General features: G+C 44.1%; 2 long non-coding RNA genes across 2 annotated transcripts; one reads left to right on the forward strand and one right to left on the reverse strand.

Moving 5' to 3' along the window:
• Positions 1-367: 367 nt before the first annotated feature.
• Positions 368-9,140, reverse strand: LOC124907848 (uncharacterized). Its single transcript, XR_007087073.1, has 2 exons — positions 9,058-9,140; positions 368-663 (listed from the first exon to the last, which is right to left on the reverse strand). It is a non-coding gene; the product is annotated as an uncharacterized LOC124907848 (long non-coding RNA).
• A 2,410-nt stretch (positions 9,141-11,550) lies between these two features.
• LOC124905592 (uncharacterized) lies at positions 11,551-12,021 on the forward strand. The gene is made up of 2 exons (XR_007087069.1): positions 11,551-11,640; positions 11,880-12,021. It is a non-coding gene; the product is annotated as an uncharacterized LOC124905592 (long non-coding RNA).
• The last annotated feature ends 6,778 nt before the right edge of the window (positions 12,022-18,799 follow it).

Consider the following 18,799-nt stretch of genomic DNA (forward strand, 5'->3'; position numbering starts at 1 on the left):
CACCTTACAAAAAAAAAAAAACCTACTGTGGTTTTACAATTTATATTTTGCAAACAGGCTCTGAAATGTATTTACCTCAGGCTCCAAAAAACCTGGATCTTCCTTGAGGGCAGTGCTGCCTACTGGATGAAATACAGATTTTAGAGTCAGAGTTGGGTTCAAATCCTAGCTCTGCCTCCTGCAGGTGTCTTAACCTCTCTGACCCCCCTCTCCTAATTTGTGCAAGGGAATAATATCCCCACATGTGTAAGACTCAACAGGGTGGGAAGGGCACATTTGTATCTAACCTGAATATTAATATATGCATTCCACAGTTTCTTTTGTATGTATCCATTATAACATAATTTTAAAAACTGATGACACGATCTGGTTTTCAAAACCTTTCTTTATTATTTGTGGAATAAAGTTCATGGTACAAATATCAACAGAGTCGAAGGCTTCTGTGATGGGTCAAGTGAGATGGGGCCTGGGAAGTGACTGATATTGACCACAGGATGCAGCAACATGGGGATGACTGATGACCTTGACAGGAGCAGCGTTGGTTCAGTGGTCCCCAAAGACCTCCTGACAGGGGAAGGTTTCACAGGAGAGGAACTGGAGCTGAGTGCAGAGGACACCATGGAGCAGTTTTGCCACAGAGTGAAACAGGGAGATGCCTGGCAGCTGCAGAGGAGGGTGCAGTCAAAAAGATTTGTTACAGAACTGCCGTTTGACTCAGCAATCCTATTACTAGGTATATATCCAGAGAAATAGAAATCGTTCTACCATAGAGATGCATGTGAATGTTCATTGCAGCAGTATTCACAATAGCAAAGACATGCAGTCAACCTAAATGCCCATTAATGACAGATTGGATAAAGAAAAGGTGGTACATATACACCGTGGAATACTATGCACCCATTAAAAAGAACAAGATCATGTATTTTGCAGGAACATGGATGGAGCTGGAGGCCCTTATCTTTACCAAACTAACACGGGAACAGAAAACCAGGCTGGGTGCGGTGGCTCACGCCTGTAATCCCAGCACTTTGGGAGGCCGAAGTGGGTGGATCACCTGGGGTCGGGAGTTTGCGACCAGCCTGACCAACATGGAGAAACCCCGACTCTACTAAAAATTAAAAAAATTAGCCAGGTTTGGTGGTGAATGCCTGTAATCCCAGCTACTTTGGAGGCTGAGGCAGGAGAATCACTTGAACCCAGGAGGCAGAAGCTGCGGTGAGCTGAGATCACGCCATTGCACTCCAGCCTGGGCAACAAAAGGGAAACTCAGCCTCAAAAAAAGGAAAAAAAAAAATCAAACACCATGTGTTCTCACTCATAAGTGGGAGCTAAATGATGAGAACTTATGAACACAAAGAAGGAAACAACAGACACTGGGGCCTTCCCCAGGGTGGAGAGTGGGAGGAGGGAGAGGAGCAGAAAAATAATTTTGAGTACTAGTCTTAGTACCTGGGTAATGAAATAATCTGTACCATAAACCCCCATGACATGAATTCACCAATATAACAAACCTGCACCTGTACCCCTGAACCTAAAATAAGAGTTAAAGTAAAATAAGGTTTTGCTTCCTGGGATGTAGGTGAAATAATTGTTTGCTGAAGAGATCCAGAGGCAAGCCAAATAGTGACGGTATAGGGGTGGGGATACCTTTGGGACGGTGCTCTTGACTGGTTGGGAGGGGCTGGCCCGTATGAGACAGTCAAGCAAAAGGGGCAGGCAGGAATGTGAACAGGGACTGACAGTGTGTTATGTGCTGGGCTTGGCAGAAGTTCTCTCCATTGCCTCTTCTGTTGTGTCTTGGTTTTTAACAATGAACTAGGAAAGGATATTACCAACTAAGAGTGAGGGTCAGAGAAGAGGCATTGTTCTTTGAGGGGGAGAGAAATGATAAGCCGTTGTCCAGTAGTTGCCTCTTCTGTTCAGTAAGGACAGAATCTGACAGGGTGGAGCTGGGGGAGAAGAAGAAAGCCAATGAGGAGCCAGTTCTGTGATGAAACTTACAGGCTTCCAGGCTCAGTATCACCCTACGGCATCTGAACTCCATCCTTATCTATTACCCAGGATTCTTCTATACCCCATAGAAAGCACCCCTTGCACTCGGACACGCACAGGAAGGCAGTTGCTAATTGGAGGGAAGACTCACTCACACTGTCCCCGGGCCCCACTCCAAAGATGGCCAGTGCAGCTCTCTCACCTCCATTACCTCCGAATGGTGCTCTCACTCACAGCCCAGAAGAGCAGGCTGACCTCCACATGGAGCTACCTCATTTCCACTCCTCACTGCTGGCTGCTGCCTCCACGGACCCTCTAAAACCACCCCTGGTAAGATCATCAGGGGCCTCCTAACTGCCAAGTACCAGGAATGCTTTATAGTCCTCAAACATGCTGAATGCTGAGGGAGTTCCTCCATTCATACAGCTGCTTGCAGTACCTGGGTGCTATGGACTGAATATGTCCCCCCAAAACTCCTATGTTGAAACCTCATCCCCAAGGTGATGGTATTCAGAGGTGGGGTCTTGGGAGGTGATTAGGTCGTGAGGATGAAGTCTTCACATATGGGATCAGTGCCCTTACAGAAAGGCCCAAGGGAGCTTGTTTGCCCCTTCTGCCATGTGAGGATACACAGAAGGTACCATCTATGAGGAACAGGTCCTCACCAGACATAAATCTACTGGCACTTTAATCTTGGATTCCCAGCCTCCAGAGCTGTGAGAAATAAATTTCTGTTTACAAGCTAAATGTAAAGTGTTGACCAGTTTATGGTAATTGTGTTACAGCAGCCCGAATGGACTAAGGCACTGGAGTCAGTCCAAGAGCTTAGATGTAAGGGAAATAAGATCAGAGCAGAGAGGTGCAAGAGACTGGCTCCTACCAGAGCAACTAAGAGTCAGGCAAATAATGTCAACTGAGGAGGTTTCTGGGTCCAGCAGCCACCCAACTGCTGTAACACATGGCTCTTCATTTCATACCCCCTTCTCTCCTGGTCTGTCTTTCCCTCTTTGATGGTTCTTTTTCAAGCTTTCATTTTGAGTGTTCCTCAAATGGAAGCTTTCCTCAAAACAGAAAAGTTCATGTTTCCTTCCTAATAATTAATAGGAAAAAAATGCCAAATGGATAGAATGGACTCTGGATAAGAATGGAGAATTTTTAAAGAAGAAGCAAATATGGTTTATGAATATATTTTAAAAGTGTACAAAAAAGAATATACAAAAACTCACTAGAAATCAAATAAAAATCAAAATACTATCTAGGTTTTACCTATCATTATGGTAAAGAATTAAAAGAATGGTATGAGCTAATGTAGGACAAGCACAAAGAAATGTGCAGACACACACACTTTTGATGGAATACTGAAATGGGAGATCCTTGCTGGAGAATCATTACACAGCATGTCAAAATCCTTTTTTTAAATCAAAATAGAGTCTCACCCCATTGCTCAGGCCAGAGTGCAGTGGCAAGGTCATAACTCACTGTAACCTCAAACTTACAGGTTCAAGTGATCCTCTGCCCTTGTCCTCCCAAGCAGCTGGGACTACAGGCACCCACCACCACAACTGGCTAATTAAAAAAAAGGTTTTTTTTAGAGACGGGGTCTTGCTATATTGACCAGGCTGGTCCCTAATCCTTGGGCTTAAGCAGTCTTCCCACACACTGAGATTACAGGAGTGAGCCACCCTGCTCGACCTCAAAATCCTTTGAAAAGACTTGATCCAAATTCAACTTCTAGGGTTAGAGCTCAAGAAAGTAACTGGTCAAATGTGCAAAGATGTTTGTATAAGGATGTTTATCACTGTAAAGTTTATTGACACAGAAGCAACCTAAAGTGCAACAAGAGGGGACTGGCTGAATAAATCCTGCTCTATTTCTGTAGCACAGTACCTCACAGCCATGACCAATGCTGATGAGGGTTTACTGACATGAAAAACATTGCCCAACTATAGCAACAAGCAAGAAAAGATTATAAAACAATATGTTTGGATTTATTTTTGGAAAAATGGTATTGAAAAATGATATCCACAAACAAGCATGCAGAGAGAAAAGTCTGAGTGGTTCCACCAAATGTTGGTAGCAGTTACCTCTGAAAAGAGGAATTGTGGGGGATTCTCTGCATAAAAGATAAACTCTGAAGGTCTTTGCACATTCTAGGCACTTGGCCCTGCTTTCAGACAGTGAAACTGAATCTTGGAAGTCTAAAGGGACTCAGGGACTCAAGTGTGATTGTGAGCTCCTAAAGGTAAGACCCGCGTCCGGTTTTATTATTTCAATTAATCCAATTAATGTGCACAATTCAGTGGCATTTAGTACATTCACAATGTTGTGCAACGACCACCCCTTTCTGGTTCCGAATCATTTTTATCACTGCAAAAGGAAATTCCTTGTTTATTAAGTGGTTCCCCCTTATTTCCCTCTCTCCCCAATCCCTGGCAACCTAATCTGCTTTCTGTCTCTATGGATTTATTTATCGTGGATGTTTCATATAAATGGAATTGTACAATATCTGACCTTTTATGTGTGGCTTCTTTCAGTTAATGTTTTCAGAATTCATTCGTGTTGCATCATGCATCAGTATTTCATTCCTTTTTAGGGCTCAAAATTCCATGTATGTTTATACCGCACTTTGTTTATCCATTCATTCATTGATGGACATTAAGGTTGTTTCTATCTTTTGGTTATTGTGAATGATGCTGCTGTGAACATTCACATACAAGCAGTTATTTGAATACCTATTATCAATTCTTTCAATGTATACCTAGGAGCGAAATTACTGGTTCATATTTTAATCCTGTTTTTGTTTTTTATTTTTGTTTTTTTTGTTTTTTTTTTTTTTGGTGGAGATGGGGATCTCACTATGTTACCCAGGCTGGTATCAAACTCCTGGGCTCAAGTGATCCTCCAGCCTGGGTCTCCAGAAGTCCTGAGATTACACGTCTGAAAGATGCTGTGCCCAGCCAGTAATATGTTTTAGAATCAGGAAGTGTGAGTCCTCCAACATTGTTGTAGTGTGAGTCCTCCAACATTGTTGTTCTCTTTCAAAATTGTTTTGGCTATCCAGGATATCTTATGATTTTTACAGATTTATTGCCATTTCCAATCTTTTTTTATTACTATGTAATATATGTTTCTTTTTTTCTTTTCTTTTTTTTTTTTTTTTTTTGGAGACTGAGTCTCGCTCTGTCACCCAGGCTGGAGTGCAGTGGCACGATCTTGACTCACTGCAACCTCCACCTCCCAGGTTCAAGCGATTCTCTTGCCTCAGCCTCCTGAGCAGCTGGGATTACAGGTGCCCGCCACCATGCCTGGCTAATTTTTGTATTTTTAGTAGAGATGGGGTTTCACCATGTTGGTCAGGCTGGTCTCGAACTCCTGACCTCATGATCTGCCTGCCTCAGCCTCCCAAAGTGCTGGGATTACAGGTGTGAGCCACCGCGCCCAGCCATAATGTATGCTTCTTTGAGCTGTTTTTCTGATAACTTAGTAGCCATGTAATCTAATTAACTGATATGCTTCAACCACTTTCTCAATCTATCACTCTCAGACACGAAACAGTATCTATTGACTCTATCATATGAAAAATTAACATCCCCATCAGAGTTGTTCCAAGCCCCACGAATACAGCCAGGATTTTTTTGTCTTATCATCTTGCAAGAGCTCAGGTCCTATCCAACTACAACAATTACAGATACATGGCAGCATGTTCACATTGTCTCAGGCTTCCCCCAACTACATCTGAACAGTTTGAATTGGATTAAAAAGGGCTCCTGGAGACTTGTAGGCTTGCTTATCCTGTGGGTAACTGACATTGGTTGCAGTAATGATACCAAGGTTTCTTTTCTTTTTCCAGGTAGGAAAACATGTGATTTGCTCTATTTCATCGTCTACCAGTAGTTTCTTGTGCTCAAAGTCTGCACTTTGCAACAAGCACAAATTAAATAAGAGCATACATGCAAAACAATTACTTAAATTCAAACTTTTCCATTGAAATACAAATGGCTCTTAAATATGTAAGATACGCAACCTCTCTCAAATGAAGATTAAAACTGTATCCAACTGCCTTTTTTCACCAGATTATCAAAAATTCAAATTTGATGGCAAGAGTGTAGGGAAATAGAGTCCCTTATATATTCTTGTGGGAGTAGAAGTTGGTTCATTGTGAAAGGTAATTTAACAGTTCCTATCTAAATTACTTTCGCCCAGAATTTTATTTTTATTTTTGAAACAGGGTCTCACTCTGTCACCAAGGCTGGAGTGCAGTGGCATGATCTTAGCTCACTGCAGCCTCCGTCTCCCAGGCTCAAGTGATCCTCCCACCTCAGCCTCCTGAGTAGCTGGGAGTACAGGCATGTGCCACCACCCGGCTAATTTTTGTATTTTTTGGTAGAGACGAGGTTTCACCATATTGCACAGGCTAGTCTCGAACTCCTGAGCTCAAGTGATCTGCCTGCCTCGGCCTCCCAAAGTGCTGGGATTACAGGTGTGAGCCACTGCACCCAGCTCACCCAGCATTTTTACTTTTGGAATTTATGATATACTGTGCACATGTGGAATTTAAGCTATAGATACTTGCATATGTGCAAAATAGTGTACAAAATTAACGACTGAAGCAGTTTGTTATAGCAGAAAATTAAAACAGTTTATCTGTCCATCAGTAGACAAACTGTTAAATAAATTACTGTATATCCAGATAATGAAGTCCTACATAGAATGAGGAAGGTCTGTCTATACCAGTATGGAAAGATCTCCAAGACACATAATTTAAAAAAAAATCAAAAGTGCAGAGCAGTGTGTATCATACTACAACTTGCGTTTTTTTAACAAATAAAGGAGGGAAGAGAATTGCTTGAATGTAAAACAATTCTCTGAAATCCTGTAGGGTTGTGAACAGAGTGAATGGAGAACAGGAGTGGAAGGGAAGCTTTTCCAATGATGCCTTTCTACACACTTTAAATTTTATCAAACGCAAGTAAACCTCCCTCTTGATTGCCTTCTCCTCTTGGGTCCTGTCTTTACTTCTGTCCACCACTTCCTTACCGGGGTGACTGCCGGCAGGACTTGGGGTTTGTCTTTCCCACTTGGCATCTAAATCGAAATCCTTTACCCTTTGAGCCCATATTAGTTCTTCTTTCCCGCTAATGTCTAAACTGACCTAGAAATAAAAAACTTTTCTTCCTCCCTCTCCCCCTCCTTCCTTCTCTTTCTCTCCTTCTCCTCCCATCCCTCACCCCACACAAAGGCATTCTGTGTGTGAAACATTAAAAAGGGTTCCCTTCCTTACTTGAATAAACCTGCCCACTCAGCCTCAAGGCTGCTCCCAGAGATGTCCTCGGGTAACTTGGAGACTGTGAACAGTGCCAAAAAACACACAATATCATGATAACTTCCCAGACTCCAAGTTCCAGTGAGGCTAAACTAGAAGAGGACAGTGATGTGACTGCTTCTTGGTCAGAAGAAAAACTTGAAGTGAAAGTGCTCTTTGTTTCCTGGGGACAAAAGTTAAAAAGGAACAAGGAGAATTCCCGTGAAGGTCAGTTTCTCCTTCCAGATTTTGTGGCAGAGAAACTAGTGAATTTCAAGTTCCTTGTGTTAAGTAAGTTTAGCCTACTGCTTCCTTACATATTTTAAATTCGTCCTAAAGGGTTCTCTGTACTCCACAAACTGTAACCTAAATGGGCTTGTAAATGGACTATAGCCTACTCTTTGCCACTCACCATGTTTTGACCAATCAAAGGTGGCCCAGTGTTCAAACCATGTTCAAATAAGGCAAACGTCGAGCTGGAACCAATCCGGCTGTTTCTGTGGCTTACTTCCACCTTCCATACACTGCTTATCATTTTGTGTCCATAAATCATCTTCCACCACATGGGTGCACTGGAGTCTCTGAGCCTATTCTGGCTCAGGAGGCCGCCTGATTCACGAATCATTTTTTGCTCAAAGTCTTTTAAATTTAATTTGGCTAAAGTTTTTCTTTTAACACCTACAATGCTAAGATTCTTTGTTTCCAAGTGACACTGTGTGGACTCACCTACCCCCAGCCACCACCTTGTCAGGTTTTCAAAGTATCCAGCACTGCAGTTCCACAGTCATCCCTGCAGTGAAACCAGACTCAAGGGCACCCTGTGGCCACTGACAGCTGAGACCCCTGAGAGCCTGTATTACATGCATGTCCTTGATGAAAGCTGGGTGGGGCTGTAAAAAAGTGAAAAATCTGTTTTCCTTCTAAAAACTATTTCCTGCAGGAATTTCCTGGTTTGTTCCTGTGGAAAATATGGAGTCTAGATCGAAGAAGGAAAACATGCCTCTAGGGAGGCCACATGCCCAAGACTTGTGGCCCTGGCGTCTCCTGGTTTGAACTCCTTGGCGTCCCTGGTTTGAACCACACATTTCTTGGGGAAATCTCTAAGTCTGGGAGACAGAGCTAGGCCTCCCTGCACGCCTTTACGCCAGGCCTGGGGAAGAGAGAGGAAACCATCTGAGTGCCTGCATGGCTTCCAGCCTTGCAGGAACAGGGAGACCTGCTTAAGGGTGTGTCTTTCCGCGTTTGCCCATGAGGAAGCAGGCCTCTGCCACTGGGAGAAGGTAGCATGAGAAAGACCTGCATTGGAATCTGGCTCCATGCCTTTCTAGCTGTGTGACCTTGGGCATGTCACTTAACCTCTCTGAGCCTCCACTTCTTCATCTATAGAACAGGGGAGAAGAAAACCTGCCTTCTAGAGTTGTTTTGAAGATTGAATGAAATAACTTTTATAAAGCCTTGATAGATGAACTACCCACCCCTCCTCCCTCTGTTCCCTTTTCCTGGCTCTCTCAGCTTCTTGGTGCATTGAGGGGGCACCTACCGCAGGCAGGCCACATATCCAACACTTTAGTCCTTCTCCAGGGACCATACATCACAGAAATCCTGTGTCCAAGCACAAGTTTCAGCAAAGACTCCTTCCCCCTTGATAACAAGTGTTTAGGTTGCTGACGGGGCATAAGAGCCAAGCACAAAAAACAGCCCAGCCTCCAGATCCCAAGGAAGGTGCATGCTCAGAGCACTGTCCTTCCACCCAGTCCCCTCACCTGTCACCACAAGAGCCTTGAGCGTCCATGGAGCTTCAGCTCTCAGCCACTCATTGGCATCCAGGAGATAGTGTCCAGGACCCGTCCATCCCTGGAAAGCAGGCTGGCTGCCCCCTCATTGCTTGGCTCCTTAATTTTTGATAATCATAAACCCTAGGGTCAAAGAGCTGGGCTGTAACACAATAGGGAGTGCATTCCCCAGTGTATTCCCCCGTGTGGTCACAGGGAATGAGCCTGGAGCAAGGGAGCCCAGCAGGCTGAGAATCTGCAGTGTGCTGGGCCTGGGCTTGGCATGAAGGCACGAGATGTCGGAGGCGTGGCTGCCACCCAGGAGGACACACCTGATGGGGCTCCAGGAACAGGACAATGGTGGAGACGTCACATCCAGAATAACTTTGTTAGGAGACTGAACTTGACAGTCAGGAGTTTTACATTGCAGGTATCAAAAAGCCACCTAAAATTGCCTTAAGTAATAGAGGTGATCTAATGGCTCAAAAAACCACCAACTCTAGGAAGACAGACAGGGTGACCTGAAAGTGGGTTTCACCTGGTGTTTTTCTGCCATTCTGTGCATGGCGTCAGCTTCCTCCCAAGACTGGCACTGCATAGGACATCGGGTGTTTGCCAACCCAGTTGAAGCTCTCTGCTTCCTTGCTCACCACCAGCAGAAAGGTGAGGGCTATGCCCTGCATTCCAGGTGACAGGGAAGGTTTACATCGGGACTCAGTCACACTTTCTGGGTACTGTACATTTCATAGCAGGAGCCAGGTTATACTAAAGGAGTCCTGGCCTGAGGATACCAGCACCCTATAGAGATGGAGAACCCCAGGCAGCTCAGGGGCTGAGGGGCTGAGTGACAGTGAGCACTGCCCACAGAGGGGGCACTCTGAAGTCAGGAGGGGTGGGAAACAGGTGCAGATCGGCAGCCGGCAGAGGCCCACCCAGGTGAGCACAGGTGGACCTGATGGTGGATGGGGACAAAGAGTGTGCTGGTTGGGAGGAGAAGGCGGGGGCCTGTAGCTGGTCTGGGAATTCCCAAGCTGAGCAAACGGTATGTCAAGGCCTGTGGTTGGGCTTGTTAACATAAACACCACACTCTTAAATGATCTGTAAGAGGTATCTTCTGAGCCAATATGAGTGACCATGGCCTGGGGATCTCAAGAGGTCCTGAAAACGTGTGCCGGGGCCGTCGTTTTCTACATTTGAGGGGACAGGAATTGGAGTAACATCATAAATCAATCCATGGAAGGTGTACATTGACTCGGCCTAACAAGGTGGGATATCTTGAAGTCGGGGGTGTTATAGGTCATAGGTGGATTCAAAGATTTTCCGATTGGCAATTGGTTGAGAGTTCAGCTTTGTCTAAAGACGTGAAGTTGGTACAAAGGAATGCTTCAGTTCAGAGAGAGGGTCTGCCTCTGCCACGTGATGCTGTCCCAGAGTCAGGTAGGAAAGTCAGCCACAGTATCCTCAGTGATTTTACAACCCATTGAAGGAGACTCTGTGGTTTCTAGGTGTGTGTTAATTCTTGCCTTGCATGGCCTCAGGTCTTGTTCATAATCTGTAACTGATTGTCCAGAGTCCAGTCTGAATAATCTAACTATGCCTATTTTATACTCCAAAGGTGCAGGGCTTTCATGAGGTGTCTCTGACCTCCCCTTCCACCATGGCCAGGAATTCATTTTCAAGTTTCCCTGGGGTCCCCTTGACTAAGAGGGGGCCTGTTCCATTGGTTGGGGTCTCAGGATTGCAGGCCTTAGGGCAGCCTCACAGCATGGTGCAGGGCGCTTGGTTGGGTTTTCCTGAACCCTGAACCCCATGGCTCATAGGATAAGGGAACTGTGGGCCACCCGGATTCTGCTGAGATTCCTTTCCCCAGGTGCAGATGCGGGTTTGGCCTTGGCCCTTTCTGTTCCTTTCAGAAGCCCACGGAGTGGAGGACAGAACGGTTTGGGGTCAGGGACAGAGGCTCCTGTCACTGAGACTGCCCTCAGTGGGACAGAGGGAAGAGACTATTGATGCAGTTCGTCTGCCTCTCTGTGACACTGATGTGTAGGCCCAGTAATTAAAGTCCACTCCTGGCAGCCAGCCTTGAACATAGAACTGATCGGCCACACAGAAAACCTGAAACAAAGCCTCTAAAATGCAGCCTCTCAAAAACGCTCACAGGAGTTTTCTTAATCAGACTTAGCGTAGCCAGTGAGCTTCTGTTGCCTGCGGTGACGTGGGTGCTATTGTTCCCACTAAAAGCCCAGACCTCTGCCTCAGGAGACAGGGCTCAGCTGCAGCCTCCTCAACTAAAACATGAAGGGCTGCTTCGTGGGCGCCAAAGCGGCTCCTTAAACTCGCAATGGTGTGCAAATTTATGGGCTCACTTTCTACATCAGATCTTCAAAGGTCTCTGTGATTCCAAAAGCTTGGGAACTATTAAATTTGATCATTTCTGAAATGTCTTCCAGTTTAAAAGTCTTCAGTTCCAGTTCATTTTCAATTCCTGAATAAAGGGATGAGTCTTGGAGCTTCTGGAAGCTGGCCTGGAACTGAGCACTTGCTGCAGACAATGCCTGAAGTGCAAACCCAAAGGTGCGTGGATCTGGGCTGCATGTGAAAGCTTTCATATTCAGGTCTTACTTTGCGACAGTGAGGGGTGACCAGGGAAGCCTATATGAGGGGCAGGGGCAAACCAGCAGCCCAGCCTGGGGAGGTGCCTTAACCACATCTCACCTCACTTCCTCGAGCTAAAGTTTTCTTTAAGGGAAATGCAGGTTTATGCAAAATACTAAGCAAGCTGAGTGGCTGGTTTTTTTTTTTTTTTTTTAAAGCAATAAGGAAAAAACAGAAATTTTCACACCAAAGACCCTGTGTTGGGCTCGGAAGAACTGGTGGCTTAACTGAGGAGTCACGGAACACTGCTCTCGGAAACTGTTAGGGCAATTGAAAAAAAAAAAAAAGAATAAAGACAATGAAGAGGCTTAATTCTCCCTGTTAAAAACAAGGGAAGCGGAGGGCAGCCAAGATGGCCGAATAGGAACAGCTCTGGTCTACAGCTCCCAGCGTGAGTGACGCAGAAGACGGGTGATTTCTGCATTTCCATCTAAGGTACCAGGTTCATCTCACTAGGGAGTGCCAGACAGTGGGCACAGGACAGTGGGTGCAGTGCACTGTGCATGAGCTGAAGCAGGGTGACGCATTGCCTCACTCGGGAAGCGCAAGGGATCAGGGAGTTCCCTTTCCTAGTCAAAGAAAGGGGTGACAGACAGCACCTGGAAAATCGGGTCACTCCCACCCTAATACTGCGCTTTTCCGATGGGCTTAAAAAACGGCGCACCAGGAGATTATATCCCGCACCTGGCTCGGAGGGTCCTACGCCCACAGAGTCTCGCTGATTGCTAGCACAGCAGTCTGAGATCAAACTGCAAGGTGGCAGCGAGGCTGGGGGAGGGGTGCCCACCATTGCCCAGGCTTGCTTAGGTAAACAAAGCAGCCGGGAAGCTCAAACTGGGTGGAGCCCACCACAGCTCAAGGAGGCCTGCCTGCTTCTGTAGGCTCCACCTCTGGGGGCAGGGCACAGACAAACAAAAAGACAGCAGTAACCTCTGCAGACTTAAATGTCCCTGTCTGACAGCTTTGAAGAGAGCAGGGGTTCTCCCAGCACGCAGCTGGAGATCTGAGAACGGGCAGACTGCCTCCTCAAGTGGGTCGGGTCCCTGACCCCTGACCCCCGAGCAGCCTAACTGGGAGGCACCCCCCAGTAGGGGGTACTGACTGACACCTCACATGGCCGGGTACTCCTCTGAGACAAAACTTACAGAGGAACGATCAGACAGCAGCATTTGTGGTTCACGAAAATCCGCTATTCTGCAGCCACTGCTGCTGATACCCAGGGAAACAGGGTCTGGAGTGGACCTCTAGCAAACTCCAACAGACCTGCAGCTGAAGGTCCTGTCTGTTAGAAGGAAAACTAACAAACAGAAAGGACAACCACACCAAAAACCCATCTGTACATCACCATCATCAAAGACCAAAAGTAGATAAAACCACAAAGATGGGGAAAAAACAGAGCAGAAAAACTGGAAACTCTAAAAAGCAGAGTGCCTCTCCTCCTCCAAAGGAACGCAGTTCCTCACCAGCAACGGAACAAAGCTGGAAGGAGAAGGACTTTGACGAGTTGAGAGAAGAAGGCTTCAGACGATCAAACTACTCTGAGCTACAGGAGGAAATTCAAACCAAAGGCAAAGAAGTTAAAAACTTTGAAAAAAATTTAGACGAATGTATAACTAGAATAACCAATACAGAGAAGTGCTTAAAGGAGCTGATGGAGCTGAAAGCCAAGGCTCGAGAACTATGTGTAGAATGCAGAAGCCTCAGGAGCCGATTTGATCAACTGGAAGAAAGGGTATCAGTGATGGAAAATGAAATGAATGAAATGAAGTGAGAAGGGAAGTTTAGAGAAAAAAGAATAAAAAGAAATGAACAAAGCCTCCAAGAAATATGGGACTATGTGAAAAGACCAAATCTACGTCTGATTGGTGTACCTGAAAGTGACGGGGAGAACGGAACCAAGTTGGAAAACACTCTGCAAGATATTATCCAGGAGAACTTCCCCAATCTAGCAAGGCAGGCCAACATTCAGATTCAGGAAATACAAGAACGCCACAAAGATACTCCTCGAGAAGAGGAACTCCAAGACACATAATTGTCAGATTCACCAAAGTTGAAATGAAGGAAAAAATGTTACGGGCAGCCAGACAGAAAGATCGGGTTACCCACAAAGGGAAGCCCATCAGACTAACAGCTGATCTCTCGACAAAAACTCTACAAGCCAGAAGAGAGTGGGGGCCAATATTCAACATTCTTAAAGAAAAGAATTTTCAACCCAGAATTTCATATCCAGCCAAACTAAGCTTCATAAGTGAAGGAGAAATAAAATACTTTACAGACAAGCAAATGCTGAAAGATTTTGTCACCACCAGGCCTGCCCTAAAAGAGCTCCTGAAGGAAGCACTAAACATGGAAAGGAACAACCGGTACCAGCCATTGCAAAATCATGCCAAATTGTAAAGAACATTGAGGCTAGGAAGTAACTGCATCAACTAACGAGCAAAATAACCAGCTAACATCATAATGACAGGATCAAATTCACATATAACAATATTAACTTTAAATGTAAATGGACTAAATGCTCCAATTAAAAGACACAGACTGGCAAATTGGATAAAGAGTCAAGACCCATCAGTGTGCTGTATTCAGGAAACCCATCTCACGAGCAGAGACACACATAGACTCAAAATAAAAGGATGGAGGAAGATCTACCAAGCAAATGGAAAACAAGAAAAGGCAGGGGTTGCAATCCTAGTCTCTGATAAAACAAACTTTAAACCAACAAAGATCAAAAGTGACAAAAAAGGCCATTACATAATGGTAAAGGGATCAATTCAACAAGAAGAGCTAACTGTCTTAAATATATATGCACCCAATACAGGAGCACCCAGATTCATAAAGCAAGTCCTGAGTGACTTAGACTTCCACACAATAATAATGGGAGACTTTAACACCCCACTGTCAACATTAGACAGATCAACGAGACAGAAAGTTAACAAGGATACCCAGGAATTGAACTCAGCTCTGCACCAAGCGGACCTAATAGACATCTACAGAACTCTGCACCCCAAATCAACAGAATATACATTTTTTTCAGCACCACACCACACCTATTCCAAAATTGACCACATAGTTGGAAGTAAAGCTCTCCTCAGCAAATGTAAAAGAACAGAAATTATAACAAACTGTCTCTCAGACCACAGCACAATCAAACTAGAACTCAGGATTAAGAAACTCACTCAAAACTGCTCAACTACATGGAAACTGAACAACCTGCTCCTGAATGACTACTGGGTACATTACGAAAGGAAGGCAGAAATAAAGATGTTCTTTGAAACCAACGAGAACAAAGACACAACATACCAGAATCTCTGGGACACATTCAAAGCAGTATGTAGAGGGAAATTTATAGCACTAAATGCCCACAAGAGAAAGCAGGAAAGATCCAAAATTGACACCCTAACATCACAATTAAAAGAACTAGAGAAGCAAGAGCAAACACATTCAAAAGCTAGCAGAAGGCAAGAAATAACTAAAATCAGAGCAGAACTGAAGGAAATAGAGACACAAAAAACCCTTCAAAAAATTAATGAATCCAGGAGCTGGTTTTTTGAAAGGATCAACAAAATTGATAGACCGCTAGCAAGACTAATAAAGAAGAAAAGAGAGAAGAATCAAATAGACACAATAAAAAATGATAAAGGGGATATCACCACCGATCCCACAGAAATACAAACTACCATCAGAGAATACTACAAACACCTCTACGCAAATAAACTAGAAAATCTAAAAGAAATGGATAAATTCCTCGACACATACACCCTCCCAAGACTAAACCAGGAAGAAGTTGAATCTCTGAATAGACCAATAACAGGCTCTGAAATTGTGGCAATAATCAATAGCTTACCAAACAAAAAGAGTCCAGGACCAGATAGATTCACAGCCGAATTCTACCAGAGGTACAAGGAGGAACTGGTACCATTCCTTCTGAAACTATTCCAATCAATAGAAAAAGAGGGAATCCTCCCTAACTCATTTTATGAGGCCAGCATCATCCTGATACCAAAGCCGGGCAGAGACACAACAAAAAAAGAGAATTTTAGACCAATATCCTTGATGAACATTGATGCAAAAATCCTCAATAAAGTACTGGCAAACCGAATCCAGCAGCACATCAAAAAGCTTATCCACCATGATCAAGTGGGCTTCATCCCTGGGATGCAAGGCTGGTTCAATATACGCAAATCAATAAATGTAATCCAGCATATAAACAGAACCAAAGACAAAAACCACATGATTATCTCAATAGATGCAGAAAAGGCCTTTGACAAAATTCAACAACACTTCATGCTAAAAACTCTCAATAAATTAGGTATTGATGGGATGTATCTCAAAATAATAAGAGCTATCTATGACAAACCCACAGCCAATATCATACTGAATGGGCAAAAACTGGAAGCACTCCCTTTGAAAACTGGCACAAGACAGGGATGCCCTCTCTCACCACTCCTATTCAACATAGTGCTGGAAGTTCTGGCCAGGGCAATTAGGCAGGAGAAGGAAATAAAGGGTATTCAATTAGGAAAAGAGGAAGTCAAATTGTCCCTGTTTGCAGATGACATGATTGTGTATTTAGAAAACCCCATTGTCTCAGCCCAAAATCTCCTTAAGCTGATAAGCAACTTCAGCAAAGTCTCAGGATACAAAATCAACGTGCAAAAATCACAAGCATTCTTATACACCAATAACAGACGGCCAAATCATGAGTGAACTCCCATTCACAATTGCTTCAAAGAGAATAAAATACTTAGGAATCCAACTTACAAGGGATGTGAAGGACCTCTTCAAGGAGAACTACAAACCACTGCTCAAGGAAATAAAAGAGGATACAAACAAATGGAAGAACATTCCATGCTCATGGGTAGGAAGAATCAATATTGTGAAAATGGCCATACTGCCCAAGGTAATTTATAGATTCAATGCCATCCCCATCAAGCTACCAATGACTTTCTTCACAGAATTGGAAAAGCTACTTTAAAGTTCATATGGAACCAAAAAAGAGCCCGCATCGCCAAGTCAATCCTAAGCCAAAAGAACAAAGCTGGAGGCATCACGCTACCTGACTTCAAACTATACTACCAGGCTACAGTAACCAAAACAGCATGGTACTGGTACCAAAACAGAGATATAGATCAATGGAACAGAACAGAGCCCTCAGAAATAATGCCACATATCTACAACTATCTGATCTTTGACAAACCTGAGAAAAACAAGCAATGGGGAAAGGATTCCCTATTTAATAAATGGTGCTGGGAAAACTGGCTACCCATATGTAGAAAGCTGAAACTGGATCCCTTCCTTACACCTTATACAAAAATTAATTCAAGATGGATTAAAGACTTAAACGTTAGACCTAAAACCATAAAAACCCTAGAAGAAAACCTAGGCATTACCATTCAGGACATAGGCATGGGAAGGACTTCATGTCTAAAACACCAAAAGCAATGGCAACAAAAGCCAAAATTGACAAATGGGATCTCATTAAACTAAAGAGCTTCTGCACAGCAAGAGAAACTACCATCAGAGTGAACAGGCAACCTACAAAATGGGAGAAAATTTTCGCAACCTACTCATCTGACAAAGGGCTAATATCCAGAATCTACAATGAACTCAAACAAATTTACAAGAAAAAAACAACCCCATCAAAAAGTGGGCAAAGGACATGAACAGACATTTCTCAAAAGAAGACATTTATGCAGCCAAAAAACATGAAAAAATGCTCACCATCACTGGCCATCAGAGAAATGCTAATCAAAACCACAATGAGATACCATCTCATACCAGTTAGAATGGCAATCATTAAAAAGTCAGGAAACAACAAGTGCTGGAGAGGATGTGGAGAAATAGGAACACTTTTACACTGTTGGTGGGACTGGAAACTAGTTCAACCATTGTGGAAGTCAGTGTGGCGATTCCTCAGGGATCTAGAACTAGAAATACCATTTGACCCAGCCATCCCATTACTGGGTATATACCCAAAGGATTATAAATCATGCTGCTATAAAGACACATGCACACGTATGTTTATCGCGGCTCTATTCACAATAGCAAAGACTTGGAACCAACCCAAATGTCCAACAATGATAGACTGGATTAAGAAAATGTGGCGCATATACACCATGGAATACTATGCAGCCATAAAAAATGATGAGTTCATGTCCTTTGTAGGGACATGGATGAAATTGGAAATGATCATTCTCAGTAAACTATCGCAAGAACAAAAAACCAAACACCGCATATTCTCACTCATAGGTGGGAACTGAACAATGAGAACACGTGGACACAGGAAGGGGAACCTCACACTCTGGGGACTGCTGTGGGGTGGGGGGAGGGGGGACTAATAGCATTAGGAGATATACCTAATGCTAAATGACGAGTTAATGGGTGCAGCACCCCAGCATGGCACATGTATACACATGTAACTAACCTGCACATTGTGCACATGTACCCTGAAACTTAAAGTATAATAATAAAAAACAAAACAAAACAAAACAAGGGAAGTGGTGTCCTCTCTGAGCGTTTTCTTTGGAAAACTTGTCATTGTAAATCTTCCTCTGCCCCTTTGAGGGGCATGCAATGCTTTTTGACAACTAAATAAGCCTCTTGCCAGCTTTGCAACCCAGGACTGTGTTCCTGAAGGACCTGGGAGCCCGTCTTTGAAACGTCATCATCAGAGCAGCCAGGGCCCTATCTGCCAGTCTCTGTGGGATGGTGGGGGCCTAACATCTGCTGTGAGTAGTAAATCTACCTCCTGTCACGAAGGTAAGAGTTTATTTTCCTTTGTAACAAGGTAATTAGCAAACGCAGGTGGTCAGGTAAATTGAGGTTGAATCTCCAATAAATGGGTGTGGCCAAAGGTGCTGGGAAGTCCACTGATCTGAGGACTAGGCATTACTCTTCTTGAGAATGCGTGCAGTGAACAATGGGTTGGACCCACTGGCTAGATAAGCGTGAGATTTCTGTCTTTGCAGCATCTTAGCGGATCATTGTCTGTGATGCACATCTCACTCTGAGTTAATGCCTCTTCAATGATGAAAGTGTTTTCTTCCTCTTCTACCTCTGCAGAGAGGCTTGCTGGGAT

Source organism: Homo sapiens, chromosome 2, assembly GCF_000001405.40.
Source record: "Homo sapiens chromosome 2, GRCh38.p14 Primary Assembly".
NCBI classification, from domain to species: domain Eukaryota; kingdom Metazoa; phylum Chordata; class Mammalia; order Primates; family Hominidae; genus Homo; species Homo sapiens.